The sequence below is a fragment of the Homo sapiens genome, chromosome 10 (assembly GCF_000001405.40).
Source record: "Homo sapiens chromosome 10, GRCh38.p14 Primary Assembly".
Classification (NCBI taxonomy): Eukaryota; Metazoa; Chordata; class Mammalia; order Primates; family Hominidae; genus Homo; species Homo sapiens.
Window position 1 is genome coordinate 74971262 of NC_000010.11, and position 21929 is coordinate 74993190.

Below are 21929 nucleotides of genomic sequence, written 5' to 3' on the forward strand. Positions count from 1 at the left end.
AGGAGGAACTGTTGGATCAAAGGCTAGATACATGAAAGGCTGTATCAGTTTTCAGGCTGTCCAGCAGTATAGAAGGATACCTATTTTCCTGTATTGTGACCAGTACTCACCGTTACTATATCTCCTTGAGTCTAAGACACATTTTTTTAATGTTTTAATATTTTTGAAGTCAGATGCATCATACAGTATCTTAGATTTGATTAGAGTATTATTATTTTTAAAATTTTACCAGTTTGATAATAGAAATATGTCTGATTATTTCTTTTTAAGTAGTCAGATTGAACATTTCTTGTGTTTTATTCTTGGCTGTTTGTATATCATCTTTTCTAAAGTACCTCTTTTTATCCATTAATCATTTTTCTCTTGGGATTTTTACCTTTTTCTTCCTGATTTGCAGAAGCTCTTTTTTTGTGTGTAGTCATATTCATGAATCTTTTTATTTATGGCTTCAGTTTTAAATGTCAGTCATGCTTAGATTATATAAATATCCACATATCTTTCCTGGTACTTATAACATTTTATTTTTTCATATTACAATATTCATCTGTCTAGAATTTATTCTTGTAAAGGATAGGAAATAATTCCTCTTCCAGATAGATAGCTATTTGTTCTATCATGCTTATTGAATCATTTCATCCTTTCTCCACTGATTTAAAATATGACCTTTTGATATGCTAAACTTTTCTGTAGGCTTTGGTTGTTCTGGTCTTTCCATTCTTATCCATTGACCTATTTCTCTATGCTAGATGTATAGTTTGAATCATTGTAGTTCTGCAGTACTCAAAACTTTTATTTAAATTTTAAAATTATATTTTATACTGATAATTTTTTTTTAGTGTTGGAACTTTCCAGAAAGAGATGATAAGACAATTTTTTTTTCTTCTAGAAATTCCAAAAATGGACTGATTTGAAAATGTCTCCCTCAAATCAAAAGATATAATATCTGACAGGGGCGAGTTTTCATGTGTGTTTATGTGTTGGTGAGAGGCTTAATGACATGTTGGGAACAGCTTCATGGAAGGATTCTGAGAGAGGGGCCACCTCTGCCCTCACCACCTTCACTCCAGGGAAATTGACCTTAGTGATGGCTTCCTAAGGAAAATGACAAAGGGAATGACGCATTTTTTGGAGTAAAGTTCAGCATACAGGCATCCTTGAGCAGCTTATTACAGCTACAACTTATATTTAATATCTTCTCTTAAAATGAAACATTAAAATATTTTTCTCATATATATATTAATTCAGGGATGTGGATTTGCCAAGTCTGCAGACCAAAGAAAAAGGGAAGAAAACTACTTCATGAGAAAGCTGCACAAATAAAACGACGATATGCAAAACCCATTGGACGACCGAAAAATAAATTAAAGCAACGATTGTTGTAGGTTGAGATCTTATCAAAAGAAATCATTTATGTTTTGCTTTAAAATATAGGTGATTGTTATTCTCTCAGATTCCTTTAGGGGTTTTTTGGCATCATTTTTTCAAACTCAAGGGTTGAAAAATACTTTTCCTTTTGCATAAGCTGTGGAAATTTTTTGAAAATAACATTTTTAATTACCATTGGCATTTTGGGGTCTTCTGTTGGCAGTAGCTGTGATACTAAGTGACATTTTTCAAGCAGCAGGATGGAAGCAGAATGTAAGAATTGGAAACAGTCATTCAGCCTACTTTATTACTGGCTGAGCATTAGAGCTTAATTATGTAAATATTTTCATAGGAATTTTAAAACGAGAGGGATTTGTCCATGTCTATAGCAAATCTCTTTTGTCACTCCAGATAACATTTTAGAAAAATACCTCTCTCTTCTGATAGTAATGTAGCATTACCACTTTTTAAGATCTCTTTTATGAAATAGGAGCTTCTGAAAAACCTGCAGATGACCACTTACCTCTGAAGAGTTAGACAGAACTATTTGACAACTGCACTAGTGCAGACATATATATAAAATAATATATTCGCAGTGGCCTGGAAATCTACTATGATAACCCCATTTTCACTATCTTGTTGCTGTATAATTGCCATTAAAGCCCAGTAGAGCATTTAGCAGGAGTTAGTTGGAAAAGCAGAGAAAAGATAAGAGGTGAAATGAATTTATTTTAACCTGTGTAGAGTATAGATTTGACTATCAGCATTAAGGTGTTTACGAATGGGATCAGTAGACTTGCACATCTATAGCAGTTCTACCAACAGACTACCACCATCTTTTCAGGCTTAGTGAAAGGGTCATTGTGATGGAGAAAGAATACATGCTCTGCACACACCTTGAACAGACTCCAAGAATCTCACTCCCTTGCTTACTCCTTTTCCCCTAATTTTATCTGAAGCTGCTCTCACTATCTTATTTGCTCTCAGAAAAATAGTATTCTCCCGCACCTTTATCTCCTAAGAAGAAGTAAGAAATGCAGGCTCCTTTCTAGAGTTTTCTATGAAACTTTGCAAAAACCCTTTAACCAGTAGACATTTTCAATAGATTTTGAAAAAATTTCTAGAGGCAAACATGAAACATTTATGAATAAAATCTTTCATGGTAGTATCATTTGAAGTAGAAATTATATGTTTTTGCATTCATCCTGTGTAAGCATTGTTCCCAACATGGGTCCATATCCTCAGGGCCCAATTAAAAAAACCAAATTAGGATATAAACTTTCTAAACAGAGGACACAGCTGAAAATTGCATCTGGCACCAATCCTAACTTTTTGTTTGTCCAAAATTGTCCTTTGAGCTTAGGAATTTTTAAGACAGTCTAGGGAGTTTTCCTTTTTACATGCTTTATAAGCATATTATCCTTTCTGGGCAATCGATTCCAGATACAATCCAAATGCAGCTTTCTGATGTGAAACATTTTTGCCTGGATGAGTTCCTTGTTGGTAACTCTCACTGTGTCTCTAGTGACACTAGAGATCTCTAGCGTTCACCTGACTTGGCTGAATTGGTGGTGCCAGGCAGAGTCCCTGGCAGTAGAGCCACCTCAGATGAGCCTGGTAGCTGCACCTACCTCCCCTTCAACTAACAGCTGAAATCTGGTCATTAAATCTTTGTATACAAGATGATCACTAAAATATACTCTTGTATTTGTAATTACTTAAGATATTTTTATAATTCAGTATTGTATCTTTTTAAGGCTTTCATTTTGTCATTATTCACCTTTAGCTAAATTGATCATTTTGAAAGTACATTCTTGGGCCCCAGCATTGTCATAATTCATCTGCAAATGTTTCTCTATTGTATAAAACTCTGCTACAAAATGGGTAGCTTCGCAAACCCTAGCCTGAGGTGAAGACAGTCGGCCGCTGTTCATGTAAGCAGCTGTGTTAGCGAGTGACCTCTAGTTTCTAGAACTACTCAACAGTATGGGCAGAACCAGGGTACAAAGATTCTGACGCCAAGTGTCTGATAATGACCATGGTAAATGTGCCGCTTCTTCACCAGACTCTCCATGTCATGTCTGACCCGCTGTAGCTTTTCTTTAATCATTTCTTCAGTTTTTTGCTATTGTTGTCCTTTTTTCAGCAATATTTTATGCTGTAGTTAATTGTCTTCTCTCCTAAGAGAGTATTATTGGTTATCTTACCATCCTAAGCACAAACTGCTGAGAGGAAGAGGATGTCTTTTTATGTTTTCTTAAAAAAAAGTACAAATTTATAGCCATATCCAAACTCTATTTATATAAGTTTGCAAATTGAATTAAAAATTACTTTTAACTAGAGATTAGATAAGCTTCTTCTTTTGCTTCTGGATAACACATATGACTTATTTCCTCCTAATACTTTAAAAAAGACATTTCAGGAAATCATAACTACTTGTGACAACACCAAAGGATAGCTTGTTTTTATTTAATTATAATTAAAGCATTGGGTGTTCTTTTAGTCTCTTCAGCATTTTTCTTGCTTATATTGCCCTTGGGTCCACATGGATTCTTCCAGTACCTGGTGGATGGGCCCTGGAAGAACCATGACATGTAAATGCAGTTGCTGCTGCCTTTCCAACAGAGAAACATCTAGGTGGTGGCACACACAAAAAATACAGTTCTTAAGTTTAAGCCCATTGAATGCATCTAGTTGCAATAAATTTGTTTTTAGATACCTTTATAATTCTATTTATTAAATGCTGATACTATTCTCTAAATTTCTGCCTAGGTCTGTAACCAGTGATGAAGGATCCATGAATGCATTCACAGGAAGGGGGTCACCTGGTAGGGGTCAAAAGACTAAAGTCTGTACCACACCTTCATCTGGTCATGCTGCATCTGGGAAGGACTCAAGCAGCAGATTGGCTGTTACAGACCCCACTCGGCCTGGTGCCACCACCAAAATCACCACCACCTCCACCTACATTTCTGCCTCTACACTTAAAGTTAACAAGAAAACCAAAGGGCTCATTGATGGCCTTACTAAGTTTTTTACACCATCACCTGATGGTCGCAGATCACGAGGTGAAATTATAGACTTTTCAAAGCACTATCGTCCAAGGAAAAAGGTCTCTCAGAAACAGTCATGCACTTCTCATGTGTTGGCTACAGGTACCACACAAAAGCTAAAACCTCCACCTTCTTCACTTCCACCCCCAACCCCCATCTCCGGTCAGAGCCCCAGTTCACAAAAGTCCAGCACGGCCACTTCTTCTCCCTCTCCCCAGAGTTCTTCCAGCCAGTGCAGTGTGCCCTCCCTGAGCAGCCTTACCACTAACAGCCAGCTGAAGGCACTCTTTGATGGGCTTTCTCATATCTATACCACTCAGGGACAGTCTCGCAAAAAGGGACACCCGAGTTATGCACCACCCAAACGTATGCGTCGTAAAACTGAATTATCTTCCACGGCAAAATCTAAAGCCCACTTCTTTGGCAAAAGAGATATTAGAAGTCGGTTTATTTCTCACTCCTCCTCCTCTAGCTGGGGGATGGCTAGAGGAAGTATTTTTAAAGCAATTGCTCACTTCAAGCGAACAACTTTCCTTAAAAAGCACAGGATGCTAGGCAGATTAAAATATAAAGTGACCCCTCAGATGGGGACCCCCTCACCAGGGAAGGGGAGCTTGACAGACGGAAGGATTAAACCTGATCAGGATGATGGTAAGCAAAAGGTCAAAGCTCCAACCAAACCTGCGTCCCGTCCCTTTCTCCCCAACCCTGAAAAAAATCAACCAATCAATTCCTATTTGTCACATAGGTCTTAGCTATTTCTCTTGTTCTCACTTCACTTTCATACAGAAGCAGTGAAACTTTGACCTTTTTCTAATGCTGACTAAACCTCCAAAATGTTGTTTTTCCAACTAATACTCTCCCACCTTTTATTATTTATTTCCATTCGTAGTGACACTAGGACCCCCAGATGCCTTCATAGCATTGCTTATGGCTTTGTAGTCCCGCATGAGTAGCCACTGCCATGCTTCTGCCATGCTCTCCCCCATGTCACCTCTGCAGCCACAGCGCTGTTCAGTTGTGTGCTGTCAGTGCTTCCAACAGGGGGTGTTTCAGCTCTTCCCTCTGCTCCATTGCTTTCTCATGACAAAGTTCATCCTGCTTCCGTCTCAGCAAAGCCTGATCTGTGACTCTGTGATGTGTGCTTTTGGATGTGAGTGTGTCTGTGTGTGTATCCACCTTAGGGAGAAAACGGATTTCATAATTTCATTGAACAAATTGGCCCATTACATTTGCTACCCTTTATCAAACAAAAACCGAAACTGTGTCATTTGGACAAAGTGGTAGAATTTATTATCTCAAAAGTGATAATGGGAATGCTATAACTAGACATCGATAAAACTTCTAATCTTGGTTGAAAAATATGATTTCACTTTGTATTGCTCTTACTTTCCCTCATATATTTATTAAAGCTGTAAAAAGATGACAGTGATAAATTCAAATAAAAATTTGAGTATAGCAGGGAAAGGATACTGCTGGATCTATGAGCAGTGCTTAGATGTAAAAGCTTATTTATAAAGCTTTAAAAAAAATCCCTATTTGCCCAGTATGCTAATTTGGTGCCATTTTGGTAATATATGGTGGTTACTCATGATTCAAGTCAGTGAATACACTTTCTGCTGGTTTTAAATGACAGATACTGAAATAAAAATAAACATCAAACAAGAAAGTGCAGATGTAAATGTGATTGGAAACAAGGATGTCGTTACTGAAGAGGATTTGGATGTTTTTAAGCAGGCCCAGGAACTTTCTTGGGAGGTAAGGCGAGGATCCCACATTGTAGTAGCAAGTATAAGATGTGGCTTCTAACTATTAATATGGAATTACTGTGTTGATTTTATAGAGAATCCCTTTCAACATCCTTTGTGATTCTTTAGCCGTTATCATGCCCATTTCTACTGACTGTACATTCAAAAGCAATGACTTAGTAGAATTGTCGCCACTCTTAAAAGTAGGTATGGACTCAGCTGGTCTCACAAAATAAAACAGAGTAGCATTAGTTGAGGCAGATTTTGGAAAACATTTCTAGGTGTGAAGGAATAGATTTCTGATGAGTTTTGCCTAAATTTAGAAAATAACAATTTAAAATCATTAACAAAAAGAAGAACATCACTGTTAAATTCACCGATGTTTCTTCCAACACAGATGGCCAGCCATATGAAAAATGTCTCATATTTTTAGCTCTTCTGCATTGATGAAAACAATATTTTGTTTCACAATCAGTTGTAGTCAGTTTTATTTTTATTGTCCAGTAATTTCTTTAAGTGATTCCACTTTAATTCTGCTTAAGTTATTACCACCCAGATATTGACAGGTGAGGCTGTCAGACTTCTCAAAGACGAATCTAATATGAATTGTGAATTTGTTGTGTCAGTGACTACATTCGGTTTCTATGACCAGTGTGGTCAGGTAGACTCCCTACCCAACCCCACTTCCTGTTTTGTGGGGAAGGGGTTTTCTGTAGGCTCTTAACGCTTTATTTTTAGTAGCAGCCAGTTGGGCTAAATACTCCTGACAGTTTCTACCTTCAGAGCTATTGGGTATTTCCAACCCTCATTCTGCCCCGATCTATCAGGATGCCTTGTATCAGCTTTCCTTTGGCTAAGATAAATGTCAGATTTCCCCCAGTTATTAAGGTTGGAAGTCCTTGAACCAGCCCAGGTTGGAAATGGAGCAGGTCAAAACTCCTACGTTGATCAGTAGTGGGATTGTGCCCTTGAATGGCCACTTTACTCCAGCCTGGACAACACAGCAGGATGCCACCTCTTTTAAAAAAAGATTCGAAGTCCTTAAATATTATCTTTTTTTGGCCTACTTCTGACATTCATATGTAAACATGAACAGTAGGCCATTATCTGAAAGATACTGCTAATTCTAAAGTTTTTTCATTCCAACATGGTAAAACTGGCTTTTTTTATTCAAGAAATATTCTTGTTCTGTGTCAGGCACTGTACCAGACACCAGGGATACCACAGTGAATCTGGCAGGCAGAGTTCTTAACCTCGTGTGGCTTACTACATGGAAATAAGGGAAATAAGAGGAGACAAATGCTAAGCTGCAGATTTCACAATTGATTATTTAATTACAGTTGTGATAAATACTACTTCGTGGAGGAATAGGAAACTGTAAGCTTCTGTAATAAATAAGCCTGTGTAATAGCCACATCATTTATAATCACCTAATTTCTAATCTGTTACAACAGATTGTTAAATCCAGTTCTATCGACATTTGTATGTATTTATACCATACTTATTTCCTTTGCTATATTGTTTCTTAGGGTATTCGTTTGCTGTGAATCTTACACAAAGGTAATGTTAGGTTGGTGCAAAAGTAATTGTGGTTTTTGCCATTGAAAAAATTATAAAAACAGTAATTACTTTTGCACCAACCTATTTCATAAGGGTCTATAGTGTTTTAAGGCCATGCAAATTCACAATTAAGATTAGTGTTCTGATCTTGATAAGTTTTGATAGTCACTGGTGAAAGAACCAAAATGTAAGTGAAGTATATATATTATTATTTTCCTTTTCTTTCTATTTGACAGAAAATAGAGTGTGAGAGTGGGGTGGAAGACTGTGGCCGGTACCCTTCTGTGATTGAATTTGGTAAATATGAAATCCAAACCTGGTACTCCTCGCCTTACCCACAGGAATATGCAAGGTAATGGAATAAGTCTGGCAGGTGTATAACTTGAATGTCACATATGTGAGAAAGGAAAATTCTTGATTCTAAAGCAGGAATTAGGGATGATTTTAGGAAATAAATTTTGGTAGTCAATGCCAAGTGCTTCCCAAACTATTGCTTTTGCCAGCACCTTTTTATGGTATTCCTTGTTCTCGGTAAATTCCTTATGCTCCTTAGTTACATGGGCATTATAAATTTTGCCATTTAGCTTCTAGATTGTGCTTTCTTTCCTTGGTTAATTGGGGAAATGTTGGTTTTGTATGAAACCAAATTAAAAAAAAAAAAAGAAATTTGCCATGGTGAATTATTGGGTAGACTTTCTTCTCCAGTTGTCTTTTATATTTTTTAATTAGGCCTGTTACTTTTATCTCTGATTTCTGGCATTTTATTTTCAAGTTTTTAATAGAAATTTAGCAAAAGAAGGAAAAATGGGAGAAAGTAAGTGGGAATGGGTAGTCTTAAGAGACCCTTCCCCAAATTTTTACTTTAGAACATTTGTGACTTTGAAGAGAAGGCCAGGCCCGGTGACTCACTCCTGTAATCCCATCACTTTGGGAGGCCAAGGTGGGTGGATCACCTGAGGTTAGGTGTGCAAGACCAGCCTGGCCAACATGGCAAAACCCCATCTCTACTAAAAATACAAAAATTAGCCAGACGTGATAGGACATGCCTGTAATCCCAGCTACTCGGGAGGCTGAGGCAGGAGAATCACTGGAACCCAGGAGGTGGAGGTTGCAGTAAGCCGAGATTGCACTACTGCACTCCAGCTCAGGTGACAGACCAAGATCCCATCTCAAAAAATAAAAAATAAAAAGGAGAAAATAATGGTATCCAAGTTTTTGTTTGTCTTGAACTCAAGATTAGCCTGTGAACGAATATATCCCAAAATGGGTACATTGAGAATAGATGTCTTCCATAAAGTATGTCAGGGTACACTTTACTAGTATCTTCAAAAATTTTTTAGTCTGCAAAGTTTTCAGTATTTATAAACTTGATTTTCTTATAGAATAGATCTTATTTTTTTTCGTTAGCATGTGAGTGTCTGGCCAATCACGTAACTGGAGAAAATGCTAAGTGTTTTCTAAAAGTTAAGTGACAAAATAAGAGTCAAGAATTTTGGTTTCTCCTTCCTTATACCATTTGGTTGTGTGTTCTTGAACAATTTTAAAAGACTATGAGCTTTAATTTGCATAGGTAATGATAAGCCATGTGCTCTGAAAGATTTGAATAAAATTTGTACATAAGTGCAAGATTTGAAAGTAGTCTCACCTGTGTCTGCCTCTCTCTTGAAAACCTTTTTCCCCATTCTTATACTCCAAAGACCTTGCAAGTGCTTCTAAACATTTTCTTATAAATACCAGCCATGTTCATTAAGATATGGAAATAAAAAATGTTCTGATTTTTAAGGTGGAGAAAAAGTCAGCAGGGAAGAGAGGTGTTTGTCTTTTACTCAAAGTAACAGTGGAATTGGTAGAAAACAAATTAGGTCTTTTGATTTTCAGCCGTGCTATTTACTGCATTTAGACCATATATAAATCTCTGATAATAACTTTAAAGTTACCTCTTCCAGAGGTGGAAATGGTAACAACTAAGTTTGAGGACTTTTCAGCCTCATATGTATGCAGATTGTTTAAAATAATAAATTCACTTCTGAGTAAGATATTATATCTATACCACTAACCATATATAATTGGAAATAAGATAGTAAATGTGAATTTTGAAAAATATGCTTGGTCCCTTGACAGGATGATATCCTTATTAAGTTGATTTTTTAGGGTGGTGGTTCCACATCTGTAAAGCTTTCTTTATATAGGATATTTTTAAGGAAACAAATTATTTGTTCACAAAGTAAAGGGAGCACATATTATGGATTATATTAAAAAATAATGTATGGTTGTTTTTACATTCTGTCTTTACTATTGGCTGGCTTTCTTTCTTTCTTTCTTCCTTCCTTCCTTCCTTCCTTCCTTCCTTCCTTTCTTCCTTTCTTTCCTTTCTTTCCTTTCTTTCCTTTCTTTCTTTATTTTTTTGACGGTGTCTCACTCTGTTGCCCAGGCTGGAGCGCAGTGGTGCAATCTCGATTCACTGCAACCTCCGCCTCATGGGCTTAAGCGATCTTCCTGCCTCAGCCTCCCAAATAGCTGGGACCACAGGCATGTGCCACCACGCCCAGCTAATTTTTGCATTTTTAGTAGTGATGAGGTTTCACCATGTTGGCCAGGCTGGTCTCAAACTCCTGATCTCAGGTGATCTGCCTGCCTTAGCCTCCCAAAGTGCTGGAATTACAGGTGTGAGCCACTGCACCCAGCCTCCAATGTTATTATACAGCCTTTTTATGATGTAGAGAAAATTGAACAATATTTAATCTTCCCCCCAACAGTATAATCTATCTGATAGATTCTATGATTTTTAAACTTTAACAGATTACCAAAGCTTTACCTGTGTGAATTCTGTCTTAAATATATGAAAAGTAAAAATATTTTGCTAAGACACTCCAAGAAGTGTGGATGGTTTCATCCTCCAGCAAATGAAATTTACCGAAGGAAAGACCTTTCAGTATTTGAGGTAAGCGCGTGTAAATAAAAAAATTCAGCTTTTTGAAATCTAGTACTCCTAATTGTTGACTATGTGCTGATTTGTGTTTAGAAGGTACAAAGTATACTTAATTTTGGCACTGAAATTCAGACTGCCCTTTAAAACATCTCCATGTTTTGGAATGTTTATCTAACCATATTAAGCAACCATTTAGACTGATGAAGAATCCCTACTTCATCACATTAACATTTTTGTCTTCCCCAAAATCCCTGTCTACACTAGATATATTCACCATGAATTTATGATCTCCTCAGCTCTTTGTAAATTCTACTTTCTTTGGCAGGAGAAATGAGCTTTGTTCAGCAGCTCCAGCCAATGTCTGGCAGGTGCTCACTCTTCCAGGGAATTGAGCAGCTGTACATATCTCCTCAATACACAACCACCTGTGTTTCCATCCACTTCTTGGCAGTGTGGATAATCCTTTTGGTGAGACCCTAGCAGATGTTGGGACTCCCTCCCATCTGGGTAGATGGCCACCCCTGAAGAACTCTGCTGTTCACAGGAACCCCTTGTGGCCATATGTCTGTCATTGTGGGTTTCTTGAAGACATTTTGTATTTCCAGAATTGATTTCGTAGCAGGCCTTTGCCTCTATATAGTTGCATTGTTTAATTATGTATCTGTTGTCAGTTTCAGGGATTCCGTTAAGCTGAGTCAGTTTCACCTTGAGGAGACCATGCCTTTCTCACAGGTTACTGTCTGTCTGCAGGGCTTTTCACGTTTCTCCTTTATGCTCTTCCCTCCACTTGCACACTTCTGTTGTCTGCTGCATTTTCTCCTCTGTGACCCATTGTGGTGTGCATTGGTGCTCATTCCTAGGTGCTTGAAACAAGCCTACCTTGTACAGCAAACGTGATGTCCTCTTTCTCTGGAATATAGTTTCACTTCTGGATTTTCTTTTTCTGAATTGTTCAGGCTGAAACTTATTATTCTGCCTTACAGTTCTCTTTATTTCTGGCCTGCAGTGTCTTGCCATCCTATTAAATAAAGGGAAGGTTGTAGGTTTCTCACATGGACCAGGCTCCTTCTCAGACAGGTCTGGGCCCACTAGTTTTTCCCCAAGACTGATCAGAGAACATGGGAAACTCCAGTTGTGTCTTATGATTTTTTTAAAGCTTTCTCTTTTTCTATCAGCTCTTTCGGTAAGCTTGGAGGAAGAAGGGTATTGTTGCTGGGAAGATTAGGTGATATATTAGTTCTTACTAAAAGCTAGGCACTTTTGACATTTCAAGCTGGTTAGTTCTTTGTTGTAGGGGCTATGCTATACAGCGTAGGATGTTTAGCAGCATCTCTGGCCTCTGCTAATTGGATGCCAGTAGCACCACCACCCCTTCCAGTTGTGCCAACCAAAAATGTCTCCAGACGTAGCCAAACATCCCCTGGGGGCGCAGAATCACCCCCAGTAAGAACCAGTGGGCTAGAAGGAAGGCTGAATGCACGTTGCCTGACCTTCCTGTTGGTATGCTATCCTGCCAGCCCCAGCCAGCTGAGGTGACAGAGCTGCTCACAGTTGAAGCTTAGCTAATGTCACAAGTTCAGCTTTCCTATTGGCTCCTTCCTTGATGCCTTAGATCTTTTCTTCCAACCAAAACATTGTTTCTCAAAGCTCAAAACACATTGTTGGCCTTAAGTAATTATTTCATAAATCAGCATGAGTCAGCACTGGGATTGAAGCTCTCATAAATCCATGGAACGTCTTCTCATGGGCAAGGGAATCAGTCTTGTTAGGATGGTAAGAATGGGCTGTTCTTTCAGGGCAGGTGCTTTTGGACCATCCAGAGATGAGAGGGGAGACATCAGAAGCATGTATGTAAAATTCACTTATACGAATAAGGAGTTGGATTTGATAAGTACCGAGGTCCCTATTCTAGAATCTGAGTTAATAGAGTATAACATTTGGGCAACTTTTCTCCTAGCAGTTTCTTACAAAACTTATAAAATAAAGGAGGAATAATCACACATTACGATTTTCTGGCCTTCCCTTTCTTTATTCCTCTTACACTTTTCACAACCAATCAGAATTTTCTTCAGCACTGTCATCTCTGTATTTTTCTGGTTCACAGTTATGTATATCTCCATCTTTCCTTTTTGTAATATACTACCATTTCCAAAAGGGCCATACTCTCAAATACATGTAAACTTCCTTTAATTAAAGGGAGAATTGTATCCTCTGTGCCCATTGCCCATATTTGATTGTGTTGCTATGTATGGGACCTAGGTTCCATCCGAGGGAAATAGTTATATGAAATCTAAAAATAATTTGTGCAAGATGAGAACCCGTATGGTCCACAGGAGACCTGAGAATGGTCAAGTTCATTGTTTCAGAGCTCTGGTTAGCAAATATCCATTTCCCTTAAGAAAAGTGCTAGGGAAATTCTTCTTGAATCTGCTGTGTTTTCTATTTTCAAAGAGTAACTACATTTGATCAAAGAAATTGGCATCTGTGCCTAGCCTCCTGTCTATAGCCATCAGTATCACAGCTTGATTCTTTTATTTTGAAGAGAAGTAGACTGTAATCATAGTGCTTATTGTAGGTTGAAATTCATATCACTTTCTCTGTAAGTATTCCCAACATAGATATTTTATCTTTTCCAATTATATTTAAGATGATGCTTGGGATAAAACCAAAATGGAAACCTCTTTGCTAATCCACACTTCTGAGGAATCAGAATAATACAGTTCATTTATTTTAGTTTTATGTGAAACCCTTTTGAAACAACATAAAGTTTAACTTACTTGAGAAGTATTTTGATCTGTTTATATTTCCTTAATACAGATTTATTCGGTTCAGATAGAGAGGACATGCCTGATCATTTTTAGCTCAGAATAAATTACAAGTAAAAATTACTCCTTTACTAGTGGTTTGGCCCTTCTTTGGTAGCTTAAAGAGAAATTTTAACTACCTTAAATGTACCCTAATTTAAGAGAAAATGTGGAATTCTGATTTGCCAGTGACAGCTGTTTTCTGGTTAAAGCTGTACTTGCTTAATAGAGTGTTTTAATCTCTCAGTTTAGGATTTGGAAATAAAATGATGTACTTTCTGAAATACCATATAGAAGAAACAATTTTATATGGTGCAGTATTTTTATGTTAAATAATGTTGTCTGTTTCTTTTTGCTAGGTTGATGGGAATATGAGCAAAATTTATTGCCAAAACCTTTGCTTGTTAGCCAAGCTCTTCCTGGACCACAAAACGTTGTATTATGATGTCGAGCCATTCCTTTTTTATGTCCTTACAAAAAATGATGAAAAGGGCTGTCATCTGGTTGGATACTTCTCTAAGGTAAAACAAGAGCCAGCATGACCTTCATTTTCTTTTTCAAAATGTTTTTGGTAGAGCCCAATTCTTTGAACAGGGCTTTTTCATTACTATAATTTGAATAAGTGACATGTGTTTTTGAAAAGCTCAGGTTCTTGTTCAGAGCTCATTTTAAAAGATGAAAACAAAAAACATGGTGCCTAGTAAGTGTGTAAAGGACCTCAGCACTGTGTGCCGCCTTGATGACACTCTAATTGCTGCCTTGTGGACCACTTAGCGTCTTTGATTTTCTCAGTGTTTAGCTTATTTCCGTTTTCCCTTTAAGTGGTGTCAACATGAAGGTTTCAGTTTAGTGTAGCATTTAAGAGAGAATTCTCCTTTCTCCTTGTTGCCTTCCCTCTGTGGTCAACAGTATCTCAGTGAGTTAGGACGCTGGCATTTGGACAGTCAAGCTGATAAAATGACTGGTTTTACACTTTTGTCTCTTATTCTCTGTGCTATGGTTTTAAGTTCTAAAGCAATCTCACCTTTAGAAAGCCTAAGTATCAGCCGGGCTCAGTGGCTTACGCGTGTAATCCCAGGACTTTGGGAGGCCGGGGTGGGCGGATCATGAGGTCGAGAGATAGAGACCATCCTGGCCAACATGGTGAAACCCCATCTCTACTAAAAATGCAAGAAATTAGCTGGGCCTGGTGGTGCACGCCTGTAGTCCCAGCTACTTGGGAGGCTGAGGCAGGAGAATTGCTTGAACCTGGGAGGTGGAGGTTGCAGTGAGCCGAGATCGCGCCACTGCACTCCAGCCTGGCAACAGAGGGAGACTCCATCTCAAAAACAAAACAAAACAAAACAAAACAAGAACAAAGAAAGCCTAAGTATCTCTGGCTGTTAGAGTGGGGAAAACAATCGACATATTGAGGGGACGGATATAGCTTGTCCTTTTTACTGGTTCAGAGCAGTTCACTCACATTCTTCTGCTCAAAGGCTTCTAAGAAACAATAACTCCTTTGCAATAAAGGAAAACTGAGTTTGGAGATGTTTACCAGGTAATGACCTTAACTTTTCTGAGGTACCTAGGAAATAGTTAAATGTACCAGGATGGTACATAAATAGAGACAATAATTATGAGACTTTTAGATAGAAGGTCCAAACTCTCTTATTTATGATATTTTTTTATATTAGGTGATACATGAATTTTAATGAATCTGCTCTTGCACAATGTAAATGGGATGCTTTATAGAAGTGCCATTTTAATGAAGTTTCAAAAGATAGAATATATGTGAAGGTACTTGCAAACTATAGCTATCCTAAATTTAAGAATCAACCCAAAGATCATAAACAAAAATAAGTAACAGCATTCATGGAAAACTGTCTCAGTGTTTTAATCCACATATTTGGTAAAGCTTTAAAATGAAAAAGAAGAAAGTTAATTTGCACATTACAAATTCAAAAGATGATAGAGAATTAACACTGAATAAAACAATAAATAGGAAATCTATATGATTAATAAATAAAACACCTTACCTTTTATGTAGGTTTGTCAAGATCATTCTTCTCCAGAAACTTAAAAAGAATAGTGGTTGCGTCCTTGCTGTTAGAAAATGGTGTTTCTTTCATTGTCTGTGGATTTAAACATAGGCTTAACGGTGCCCACCTTCCTCGTGCTGCACTGACCATCCCACTCCTGGGTCTTGTGTTGGCTGCTGAGTAGCAGCCATGTGTAGAGTTGGTGGTGATTCTTGAAGTTTGAATTTCTGCCTCTCTTCCTGCCAGGGTACCCAAAATTTTACTCAGAACTAGCTCAACTTTTCTCATAGTTTCTTCTATAGCATGGCAGCAGCTGCTGTTATTTCCTACTATTCTGGAATACTAATATGCCTTGGCAGTATAGTGAAACAAAAATTAATCTAAAAAATAAGCATGTTAAAAGACTAGATGAGGCCGGGTGCGGTGGCTCACGCCTGTAATCCCAGCACTTTGGGAGGCCGAGGTGGGCAGATCATGAGGTCAAGAGATCGAGAGACCATCCTGGCCAACATGGTGAAACCCCGTCTGTACTAAGAATACAAAAATTAGCTGGGCATTGTGGCACCCTGTAATCCCAGCTACTCTGGAGGCCGAGACAGGAGAATCCCTTGAACCCAGGAGGCGGAGGTTGCAGTGAGCTGAGATTGCACCACTGCACTCCAGCCTGGCAACAGCAAGACTCCATCTCAAAAAAAAAAAGACTAGATGAAACTAAACCATATTCTCATGTGTCAGCTGGAATCTAGAGGACTCTGGCCCTTTGGGGCTATTCTTGAACCACATTCTAGAGGTTATTAGAACTACAGTTCAAGGATAGCCAGAGAAGGGCTGGAATGACCTGGAAAGGTTCAGTGCAAATTGTTACATGCATATGACTTTCCAAGCACATAATAGATGGCTGTAAACAGAAAGGAAAGAAGGATTAGTTATTTTATTCATAGCTTAGAATTTAGCTGTAGTAACATGTTAAGCTGCACGGAGGGGAAGAAGGATCACTACTATGTTGGATCTCAAAAAACTCCGAAAGGTGGAAATGGTTCTGGACAAAGCAAGGAATGGTATCAAGGATGAATTCTCTTAACCCAGAGTACATTTCTTTTTAGAGAGAGTGACCCATTTGTCTAACTTTGCAAAACAGACGAATTACTTGAACCTTTGCCATTGATGTGCACATCCAGTGAGGGACAATTCATCTTCTTAGAAAAACTGACACACATTGCTTCATCCTCATTTTTTAGAGGCTCCATAGACAACTACAAATGTGCAAAAGTTGGGAGTACATCTTTTTCACAAAGAAATCTTCAATTCTGCCCTGTAGGGTTTTTTCCACAACCATCTCCTGTGATCTTTCAAATTGGTTCATTAAAGATCTGGGTGTTCTGAAGTAATTCTTTGGTGTGGTCTGTACCATTTGTGGTCAGTCTTATTTGTGGTTTATATTTGGCCAGAGCATCCACGACCTCAAAAGCCTTTTCCAGATCTCTGTGTAGGTTTTGGCAACTTCTTTGTACTCTGAATAAAAAAATACTGCCCTGATGCCACATCCCATGAAAGTTGCAAATTCTTCTTTAACTGTAAGAGCTGTTTCTTACCATGTTCTACCCAGTCTTCCTCCTGGTTTCAAACTGTTCGTAATATTTTGGTCTAACCTTTGTTTGGAGGCTTTAGGGTTTCTTGTTGTTGTCTTTTTGTTTCATTTTATTTTGTTTTCCTGGTTTGAAATGCAGATTATTTCTCTAGCTTTTTACATTGACTTTTTATTCATAGGAGAAATATATGTGTGCACATCTACCCACACAGATACTGTTTTAGTTTCACTGGGACATTTGCCCAAAGGCAGAAGACAGATTGCTGTTGCAGAGTTGTAGATTATTATTATATTTAGCAAGATAGCCAGCTAAATCCTAACTTACTCCACTGGGTGACTCCCTGGGATGTTATTTTCTCTATCTCTGAAGTTATTTGAGCAAGGAAAGCATTTCTTTTATGCTGTCTATATTCTGTTTTATTTGGTTCATATATTTCCTTGGATTCTTTATGCATATTTTATGGCACTGACTTTCAAGAATAAAGATGTAGTTGAGAGGCATGTCAGAGTCGATGGTTTGTTGTTAATTGATAGTTTGATTGATTAATATAGTAGGATTTTTCTGCTTGATCCTGACCTAACCCATTGGCTTTCTTTAGTGGACAGTTTTACAAGGACAGTGGCAGGTGCAGGGAATTGCCCACTTCAGCAGGGCTCTGACATACTTGATCTGTTTCTCCTTCCCTCAGGAAAAGCTTTGCCAGCAGAAGTATAATGTCTCCTGCATAATGATCATGCCCCAGCACCAAAGGCAAGGATTTGGACGGTTTCTCATTGATTTCAGTAAGTGAAGTACTTTATTTACTTTCATGATCCAGGAAGCTGATGGCCGTTACAGGAAACAGTAAAATATAAAACTTTATTTAACCTGCATTGTTGTTTTTATCAATAGATAATGGGCTTTCTATTTATATTTACATAGGTTAGAACATCTTCCTCAAGTGAAAAATGTACTGCTGCTCAGTGATTGTACTCTAGGAAATTGAGACTAGATCTCTCGGCAGCAGGCCTCATGCACAAAGCCATTACCCTGAATGAACCGACAGAATTACATTCCATTTTGTGGTGCTCATGCTCATTAGCACCAAAAGAGGCAATTATTTGTGATTAAAGCTAAAGGAAGTATTATTTGAAAGGATTTTCAGCTCTCTGAAATTTTGCCTATAATCTTGTACAGTACAAAGCAGAAAAGGTATATTTCCATTTAGAAAAATAATTTTCTAGGCAGCTTATCCTGGGCCTTGCTAGTAGAAATAACTCTTACCTTATTTTGTTAATTTCCCTTTTCTATTATGGAAATTAATACAGTGTTTGTATCTAGAGGTTTCCCAAGAAATATTTATCTTATATGCACTCATATCTTCTGAACCTTCTCAGTTAAAACCGGCATAATATATAAAAGTATGCACATGGATAATGTTTTTAAAAATGGTAGTTTTTTTTTTCCTCCTTGTTTATATTATACTGGATGTGTAAATGTTGTGTTAGGGGTACATTTGGAGAATCAATTCAAAATATCTAGATAACATGATGACCAGATAACCCATGATAATAGTCATTTCTCGTCATGTAAAAATCTGTCACTGGCCGGGCGTGGTGGCTTATGCCTGTAATCCCAGCACTTTGGGAGGCCAAGGCAGGTGGGTCACAAGATCAAGAGATCGAGACCATCCTGGCCAACATGGTGAACCCCATCTCTACTAAAAAATACAAAAATTAGCTGGATGTGGTGGCACACACCTGTACTCCCAGCTACTAGGGAGGCTGAGGCAGGAGAATCACTTGAACCCGGGAGGTGGAGGTTGCAGTGAGCCGAGATGGTGCCACTGCACTCCAGCCTGGGTGACAGAGTGAGAGACTCTGTCTCAAAAAAAAAAAAAAAAAAAAAAAAAAAAAAAAAGTCTGTCGCTAGGAACCAGGTGCTTCTTGATTACCAGATTGCAGTTTATCTGATTATTAACTGAAAGGAGGAAAATTTAGGACTTTGCACAATCTTCATCAGCTACATCAGATGCAAAAACCACAATGTAAATGCGCTTACAGAAAACCATGAAGAAATATAGTGAATCTAAATCTATATTGTTAGGTATTAAAAGATTAAGGTCTGATTAAAGTGTAAAATAACTGAATAGCAGTTTTGGACTGATTTATATGATTTATTGACATTGAAGAATATGATTCTTTTAAAAGAAGAATTTTGATTATTTTTCTCTTTTTAGATAATATTTTTAGTTATTTATTAATTACCCTAGTCTTATCTATACTTTCCTGACCTAATTATCCATGAAACCAGTAATCCCAAGGAGGGCCACCTTACCAAATGCAGTGTACCATTTTTATTTTTATAGAGTCCTAGCTGTAATCATTTCTGAGGGCAAAACCATTTATCTTGTTCTCTAGTTTTGTGTGGCTACCATTCATAAGTAGTTCATAAATATAGTTTCTGGTATGCATAGCAGCCATTCAAGCCTTAAATGTTTGGTCATATCTATATGCCTACAGAATAAGGCAAACTCCTTAGCTCAATATTTAACGTCTTCCAACATCTAGTTCCAGCCTGTCCTTTAGGCTTTTTCATCTACTAATCTCCTTTTTCTCAAATAGTCTGAGCATGGTCCTATACCTCTATTTTTTTGTCTATTCAGTCCCTTCCTTGAAATGATCACCTCGTCCTTTCCTAGACTCCGTCTGTTCAAAATCCTGCCCATTGTTAAGAGCCAGCTCAAGAATCTCTGCTTTTTGATCCCACCTCCTGGAATTTTATCTCATACCTTTATTTTATCTTATACCATATTCTATATGGTATCACACTTACACTCTGTTCACCCTTTTATGATAATTATTGATGGAGGTTTCATACTTCCAACTTCTCTGTATCCACTAGGACAGTTTCCTTTATAATAATATGTATTAGATGATATAAATTAAATTTTATTGATATAAACTAAATTTCCAAATTGATATATGGTTGCTGTCCACAATCATTGTCTACCTAAAATTAAAAAGGAACTGGTACTTACTAGGTAAAAGTTCAAGCTCTAAATTCAGTAGTATCTTATTTGTACAGCATGATCTGGCACTAAGGCCTTCTACATAAGAGAACAATCTGGGTAACAAATACATTATCTTCAAATGCTATGTCTTTTTTTTAACCATTTTAGTGAAAACTGTTACTAGAAACTACCTTGTATTATTAAACTACAGAACACATTGAAACCTTTTCTCAGTGGCTCCAGGCCACCATGATGAATGCTGTCCACCAGGATGTGAGCAGGCAAAGTAGTGCTGAGGGTGTGGTTTTTTTCTTTTCTCTTTCCTGTACACCTAGCATTGCCCCTACTGGAGTGAGTTAAGAAGTGCAGTGAAAGATTTGAATAAAGTTGAAGAGACTGGTGTTATTCCCTCAGAGAAGGGGAAACTAGGGGAAGAATTTTATAGCACTCAAAGAAAATGGGAACTGGTGTAAACCCAATAGAAATTCAGTTTAAAACCAAAAGAATTTCTTGGCTATAAAAGTTTTAAGGAAGATAGAGTAGGCTGCTGAAGAAATTAATAGCACCTTCTCTTGGAAGTTACTTAAAGTAATAGTAGATAAATATCTTTCCAAAATGATTGAAATCCAGCCTTTGAAGGTAGGGATGAGTCACATGACCTCTCATGATCATTTTTGATCTCATAATTTGGAGCCCAGGATAGAAAGCTAACTAGGGTTACAGGTTTTCTAAAATCTGCTCTGGTTTTTTAAAGGACTTTTTAATGGTTAAATTTATTTTATTTCTATTTGGTAAATGAGCCTGGGGCCTTTTGGTCAGGGATGTATTTTCAGTAAGTCAAATGAGGTTGTAAATCAGGTAGATCTTTATAATTGCCAGTTTAGTAAGCTGAAACACGATACGAGCAGGGAGAAAGATATAGCCGCCCACTTGCACACTTGATCACAGACATGGGTGGAATGTGATGCACTGTGTGTATATACATGCTCCTAGACTTACAGTGGGGCTGTGGGCTGATAAACCCATCATAAAGTGAAAATATCATAAATTAAAAATACATTTAATACACCTAATCTACCAACCATCATAGCTTAGCCTGGACTTTAAATGTGCTCAGAACACTTACATTACCCTACAGTTGGGCAGAATCATCCAACACAAAGCCAATTCTATAATAAAGTGTTGAATATCTCATGTAAGAGTGTTGTACCACATATCGCTAGCCCAGGAAACGATCAAGTATGGTTTTTACTGATCATACCATAGTAAAGTTGAACCAAGTTGTAAGTTGTAAGTTGAACCAGTTGTAAGCCAAGGACTGTCTGTATAAAGAACTGCAAATGCAGGGCTTTGAACACTGTTCTTCAGGGCAGCAGAGTGAGGTGGAATGGTCATCCATGGGACCATGTGCTGCTTGCAGAGTAAGTCATTTGTATATCACTTCCTAGACCAGCTTCTCTGGGATTTGTCAGAGCAAGGCTCCCCAGGAGGCCATTTGCAGAGTTTGGCCAGAGTGAGTAAAGGGCACCAACTCCCAATCTGGTTATAAACTCCCTAGTGGGTTTTATGACTCTTTGCCCACAATTGGAATGGGTGGAGGAGAGAGTGACTATCGTGGATTGGTTGAGAACGCATTCCTTCCTCTTGGATTCTAGGATTCCCTTTCTCAGTCAGAAAATTTGAAAGTCTTCCCCATCTCTGTCTGTAAAGTCTTTCTATCTCTCTCTCCCTCCGTCCCCACCAGACATCTCAGAACTTCAGAGAACTCCCTTGCCCACAAAACATTTGCAGTTCCTACTTCAGAGCCTCACACCGTCAAGGCAAGGAGCTCTTCTTCTCCCAGCCACTGCTGAGCACTGGGGGCCCAG

The 21929-nt window shown here is 38.0% G+C and overlaps 1 protein-coding gene across 35 annotated transcripts in view, besides 1 other annotated feature; it reads left to right on the forward strand.

Moving 5' to 3' along the window:
- The window catches only part of KAT6B (lysine acetyltransferase 6B), a 207689-nt gene that overhangs the window by 146326 nt on the left and 39434 nt on the right, over positions 1–21929 (forward strand). For 9 of the 35 annotated variants that reach the window (XM_047424927.1, XM_047424923.1, NM_001370139.1 and 6 more), the window contains 7 exons: positions 1246–1378; positions 4138–4193; positions 6055–6176; positions 7963–8078; positions 10526–10667; positions 13819–13980; positions 17758–17851. In XM_047424927.1, coding sequence (XP_047280883.1) covers positions 1246–1378; positions 4138–4193; positions 6055–6176; positions 7963–8078; positions 10526–10667; positions 13819–13980; positions 17758–17851 — 825 coding nt within the window. Of the gene's footprint in view, positions 1–1245; positions 1379–4137; positions 5070–6054; positions 6177–7962; positions 8079–10525; positions 10668–13818; positions 13981–17757; positions 17852–21929 lie in introns of all 35 variants that reach the window. The other 26 variants (XM_047424912.1, XM_005269664.3, XM_047424911.1 and 23 more) reach the window with 8 other exon arrangements.
- Positions 11293–11342: an enhancer, noted in NCBI's record as "active region_3602". NCBI's record gives its function as "activates an Ori minimal core promoter by ATAC-STARR-seq in GM12878 lymphoblastoid cells {active_cell/tissue: GM12878}" and the evidence as "EXISTENCE:reporter gene assay evidence [ECO:0000049][PMID:35858748]".